The sequence below is a fragment of the Homo sapiens genome, chromosome 4 (genome assembly GCF_000001405.40).
Source record: "Homo sapiens chromosome 4, GRCh38.p14 Primary Assembly".
NCBI classification, from domain to species: domain Eukaryota; kingdom Metazoa; phylum Chordata; class Mammalia; order Primates; family Hominidae; genus Homo; species Homo sapiens.
In genome coordinates this window covers 46,118,535-46,124,534 of record NC_000004.12, presented here as the reverse complement: position 1 = coordinate 46,124,534, position 6,000 = coordinate 46,118,535, and the positions used below count along the sequence as shown (strand labels likewise).

The 6,000-nt window shown below is 33.8% G+C and overlaps 1 protein-coding gene across 1 annotated transcript in view; it reads left to right on the top strand.

Moving 5' to 3' along the window:
- GABRG1 (gamma-aminobutyric acid type A receptor subunit gamma1) overlaps positions 481 to 6,000 on the top strand; it is an 88,286-nt gene continuing 82,766 nt past the window's right edge. Inside the window, exon 1 of the mRNA NM_173536.4 lies at positions 481 to 725. Within this exon, the coding sequence (NP_775807.2) occupies positions 622 to 725 (104 nt within the window). The 5' untranslated portion in view covers positions 481 to 621. The remainder of the gene's footprint in view (positions 726 to 6,000) is intronic.

Here is a 6,000-nt window from a genome sequence, read left to right as displayed (position 1 = left end):
GTGCGGGGCATCCTGCCAGGTGCTGGATCTGCAAAGAGAAAGGAGACACCGCCCCACCCACAAAATTAACAAAATGATTAACACAAATTAACAGAATCCTCACGAACCTGGGGAAAACCAATTAGGCACTGCCTGCTTCCCACGGGTCTCTCTTGGAAGACAGATTTAGAATCCGAACGCTGGAGAGGAAAGAGGCAGTCGCCCCGAAATAGAGTCAGACAAGAGGAAGAGCAGAAGGGGAGAAAGGCAGCCTCTCCCTAGGGAGGGATTCTGTTCAAGGCCACTCAAACGTTTCTCCGCCGCTGCGAGGGAGAAGAGGTTTGTTTTTCTTTTAGAAAAAGGGAGCCCTTTTCCCTACTGGGCTCAATTTCTAGTAGGAGAACCCCGCCTCCTTGGGCTACTGATTGGCTCAACTCTTTTTAAGATAATTTATGCCACCATCCTCTCGGCCTGATTGGCTCCCTGGCTCAATTCTGCTGGGAGTCGCATCCTACCTGTTTGGGAGGTGCACTGCCTTTCCACACTCTCCCTTCTGTACTCAGCCAGCTGCTGCTGAGGTGGGAGGAAAAGTCCTGGCTGGGAGAATTGAGCTAGTGCAGCACACGTAAAAAAGCGATTCCGATGGGTCCTTTGAAAGCTTTTCTCTTCTCCCCTTTTCTTCTGCGGAGTCAAAGTAGAGGGGTGAGGTTGGTCTTCTTGTTACTGACCCTGCATTTGGGAAACTGGTGAGTAAATTCAGGGGTTTAAAACTATTCTTTGCTATCTACCCCTTTCCCCTTATTCCCCTTTCTTTTAAAAATTATTCCACTTTAAGTAATTAATTTGCATTTCCTAACACATATGTGGTATTTACCATCGTTTTATTTTCTGATTAGATCTATTCATTCTCAGATAGAAGGAAAGTAACATATTTCTGAAGCATGAGATTGGTTCAGTTGTTTTTGACTTCAAGCAGAGTATAAACTAGTGAACTAGTGAACTAATGAAGGTTGAGTTACTGGGAGGGAGTGAGGGGGAGTAGAAATGACTTTGCCAGTAAATTTACTGAATGAATGCCACCGAAGAACTTTCTGGATGATTCTGCATTTTAAAAACAAAGTTATTTCAGAAACTTGTTGTTACACAGCATGATATGTATGATGTTTTTCTACCTACTGCTATTGCTTTTCCCCTTTCCTCGTTTTTGGTAACTTTCTGGAACAAACCAGTGTTTTACATCAAGAAATATTGTAAATCTGGCTAAAAACAAATCTATCAGCATTAAAAATGTATAGTATCCAAGTAAAAACTGACCGTGTATATTTAATTTGAACCAGCTTTGAGTGTTTTTTTTTAAAATTGGCTGTCCATCAGTAATTAAAAATGTGTGGCCACATGAATGTCTTGGCTCTGTGTGTGTGTGTGTGTGTGTGTGTGTGTGTGTGTGTGTGTGTTTGTGTGTATGGGACAGAGAGAGAGAGAGAGAGAAAAGTGTCACCGATCACAAATTTCAAATTTAACAGAAACAAAACTGGACTGGAATACCTTTCAGTAAAATGTTTAAGTCATTCTGGTAGACATATAAAATGCTCAGGTATCATTCTTCGATTATACGTAGGAGTAGTGGGTGACTTGAGCTAAAATACGTTGATTAAGACATAGACACTTATAAAGGTCTGGGACATGGTACTCATACCATGCAACTTGTTTCAAATAAATGTACTTTTATCATTACATTATTAAAAAAGTAACTCTGTATAGAATTCAAAAGTAAAGTACAATCATTATGAAGATAGAAACATGCCTTTATAACTATTTGTATCACTGCTAAAATGAATTATTATTATAAACGTAAGTGTAAAGCTAGAGTGAATTTTTTTGCCACACCAGCATATAGAACAAGTATATTTTCTCTTAGAAAATAGAGATTGGATTAAAGTAGGCTAAGTAATATTAGACCTGTTAGAATTTTTTGACAGTTAGTGCTTTTGTAGGACTGAAGTTTTCTCTCTCTTTTTTTTTAACCCTGTTCCCTTAGATTCTTAAATGTTTGACACGAACATAAACATAATACTGGATGAATTATTTCTTGTATATATTGTGTCGTAATGGCTTATTCTTTGAATATATTATAGCATTTTATAAAAGATATTTAGGTATACACATACATCATAATATTACAAAAGTAAAAACAGATTTACAGTAGTTTTCTGAAATAACAACCTTTTATCATTTTATACGAGTTTTCCTTTCAAACAAATAGGCAAGCTGCTTAGTAAAGAGCATATTATCTATCCCAAGAGATGTTTTATTTTAAATAAACATGTTTTGTTTTGGGGAATATTTGCAATCATTGTAATTGGCTCCAGAGCCAATTACATCAAGCTCCCAGAATTGAAGAGATATGTGCTGAAGGGACAGAGTGCAGGTTTAGCAGCCTGGAGACATGATCTCATGTGTCAAGGGCCTTTAACCTCTCTGAACACAGGTTCATCTATGAAATGAAGGATACTAGACCACATATGATTTCTTAAGAGTTTCACATTCAATACATCTATGATTTCAACTGAAACATGAAATAAGTCAATGGTTGCTTCACTGTTTTATCTAAGTACTTTTCAAGAGGGAAATTCTAAGTGTGAATACTATGGACTTTTTAACCATATGTATAAGTGAGGAAGGTATTGTACAGTTAACACATAATTTTTATTGTCATAGTAATGTAGATAACCTGGATTATTTTGTCCAGTGAATAAATATACATTAAAAGATATATTTATAAGCTGTTGTTCTAATTAGCCCTTACGGCCTCAGTTATGACAGTTCATGTTATACATTTAAAAGTACCCCCAAAAACATAATTTTTAAGAATGAGGTAGAAAGCTAGCAATAAAAGGCAAATGTAAGCATGCTTTCTTTAAGATGCATCATATACTGTTTTCTTCATTGAATGGAAAAAGTTTGACACAGAAACACTTTTGTAGGCAAACCATGAGAATGTTATTAGAACATGTTTCTTTCTCCATTGGGTTCTATGAGACCAAGTTGGGAAATATAGCAATTAAAAGGAAATAAAGCATGCTTTTGCTAAAAAATAAATTTAAAAAATAATGTTGCAATGAACATTCTTTTAAAATAAGTAAAATAAAGTAGCTACAGTTGGGTGAACTTTTTATCCTTTTAATATTTAGTTGGAGGTAACAGATGCTAACATGTATAAATCATGTACGATCATATTTCTCTCTCCCTTTCCCTTTCTTTTGGTTAGTTTTCCCTTCCAAAACTAACCATAAATAGTTCATTTGTAAGCATTTTAGTGTTTTATATGATTTCCAAAATATATCTTGAAAGTCATCTATTTTGGGGACTTCCCAAATTGGAAGCATTTTTTTTGTATTTAATCAGTTGTAATGCTTAGTTTCCTCATTAATTTCCATCAACAGTATAGAGGAGAAACACTATTTTATTTTTTATTGCTGAACTATGAAAACCTATCCTATCATTGTAACTAAAACTGTAGTCATGGTTCCTGTGTATCATTCTCTAGGAGACTCTTTGGCATCTTGACAAGTTCTTTAGAATCTCTTCAGCTTGATTTAACTTCTTTGTAATGATGAAAATAATCTAGTTATAATCAGGTTTTTAAAAAGAATTTAAAAAGATATTTTAGCTGTTACCAAAAGTAACCTACAATAAGCCTTGACTAAGAGTTATACATTGAAAGAGCTCCAGGAAAAAATCACAATTTTCTTTTTTCAGAACAATTTCCATGAGTCAATAATCATACTATGTGGCATTCAGTTGCCCGGTTGAAAATATTCAAATAAACTTGCTTTTTAAAATATATTATTTTCAAGCAATTTCAGTAGTATGTTTTGTGTGGGTAGTAATGAATGAATAATTTTTTAAGTGTCTAGATTTTTGGCTTAAATTTGTAATAAAATGTTGATGATAACCATTCAAACTTGAAAAGCAAATGACTAAGTAAAGATATTCCATGATAGTTAAATATGCAAAAGACTGAGAGGAAAATGATTTTTGAAGCTAAAATGCAAATGTCGTAATTGATAAAACCCCTGTGTACAGAGTCTTTTAGTTTATCCAAACAATCAGTATCTTTCTTCCATTCTATACTATGAAGAACACTTATGGCTAAGGAACAAGAGGAAATGTTTGATATTTCATTCAAATATTAAATAGATTAATTGAATGTAAGAATATAAGGATGAAGGTGGAGGCCCAAAGGAGGGGTGAAAAGAAAGAGTAAAAAAAACTGAAAAATGACTCTGGAGATACTGAGAAAATGATTACCAAAATATGATAAATGACTTCCATGAAAGAAAAGGAAGAATGAGCTTCAAGAGAGTAATTCACATATGGGCAGGCTTTCAAGTGAGAATCCTGGCCTTTACCAACAGATCTAAATTCCAGTTTCAGCTCCACCATTTCTCACTGGAGTGATTTCAGACAACTCCTTGAGGCAGAAAATCTTCATTAGTGTGGAGTTGTCGTATGCATTTCCAGAAATGAAATTTCCAAGAAAGAAAATCTGTGCAAAGAAACTAGCACTTAAAATTTTATATGAAAAGAAAGTCATAACAGATATTCTGTGGAATTATAGTTATTCTATTATGATATAGCCTCGCTAAAGTGGTTTTAAGTGCAGTAGAGTGAAATATATGGATCCTTGTGTGTTCTTAAATGTCTTTTAAGTCTTTTAAATGTCTTTTAAATGCAGCTTATGCTTATTCATGGCTAAGACCTAGATTTATGACACTAATTAAATAAAAAATATATTTTAATCAAAATTAAAAATACACCTCTAGAACTCTAAAGATAAACAGAGGAGCCTAAATTTTTGAAGATATACTGAAAGAATGGATCATAATCAAGGAAGAAGAACTAAAGAGCCAAGAGATTTCTCATCAGCAATACCAGAAGACTATGGGGAAAATGTCTTCAAATCTGAAGTCAAGTATTCCTCCTAGAAGATTATACTTAGCCAAATTACCTAATGAGAAGAAGAAGAAGAATATAGCCTCGATATTGTTATTCTCTCAATTTTACAGATGGAAAAACAGGGGAAAAACATTTTTGTGAACTTATTAAAGGTCATCTTGCTGATAGGTGCTGAAACCGAAACTTAAATCCCTGTGTTCTATACCCCTGCCTGCATTTTTAACTACCACATCTCTCAGATTATGAATGCAATATAAGTCAAAACAATGAACATTAGTGTTGATAAATTTTTTAAAGGAAATGGAGAAAAAAAGAGGAGAAGAGAAGAGAGATACTACAGTAAATTATGAGTTCATTGATAAAATCACATTAAGCAGAAAAATCTACTTTGTACCTATCACACACTTTCTGGAGTATTGTGGGTAGTGCCAGATTATTTTAAAGAAAATTTTGACACACTGAAGTACTTGACGCAGACAAACACACACACACACACACACAACTGTAACTTAAAAGCAAAATTTTTTAATTTACATAAGTTTACTGAGGAATTGAATGGTTATCTTATTTTAAAGGATGCTATATATAATCATGTTTGAATTTATTATGTATAGATGTAGTAGACAAACCATAACCAAGTAGTAGAAATTATATGAAGGAAGATTTTCTCCCAATACAAAAGTTATCTAACATGGTAATGGATAGCTTATCACTAGACATGTTTAAGCAGAAACTTGTTAGTGCGTTCTCAGGCTCTGTAGGAGGTAGATTAAATTTATAGTTTTTTTTATTTTCAAACATTTCATTAAGTCTATCAGTACTAAAATAATTTAGCCAGCTGAAGTCCCATGTTTCAAGAAATAGCCTTAGCTATTAATTCATTCAGTAAATACTCACTGAGCACTACCGTTCATTCCACCAATATTTACTCAGTGCCCATTGTGTGTTAAGCAGGGTTCTGGAAACTAGATATAATGGTAATAATGGTAAATAAGACAAAGTCATTGCCCTATAGTGTTCAACTAGCATAAATAAGACATATATTATATGCTAGATGAACAG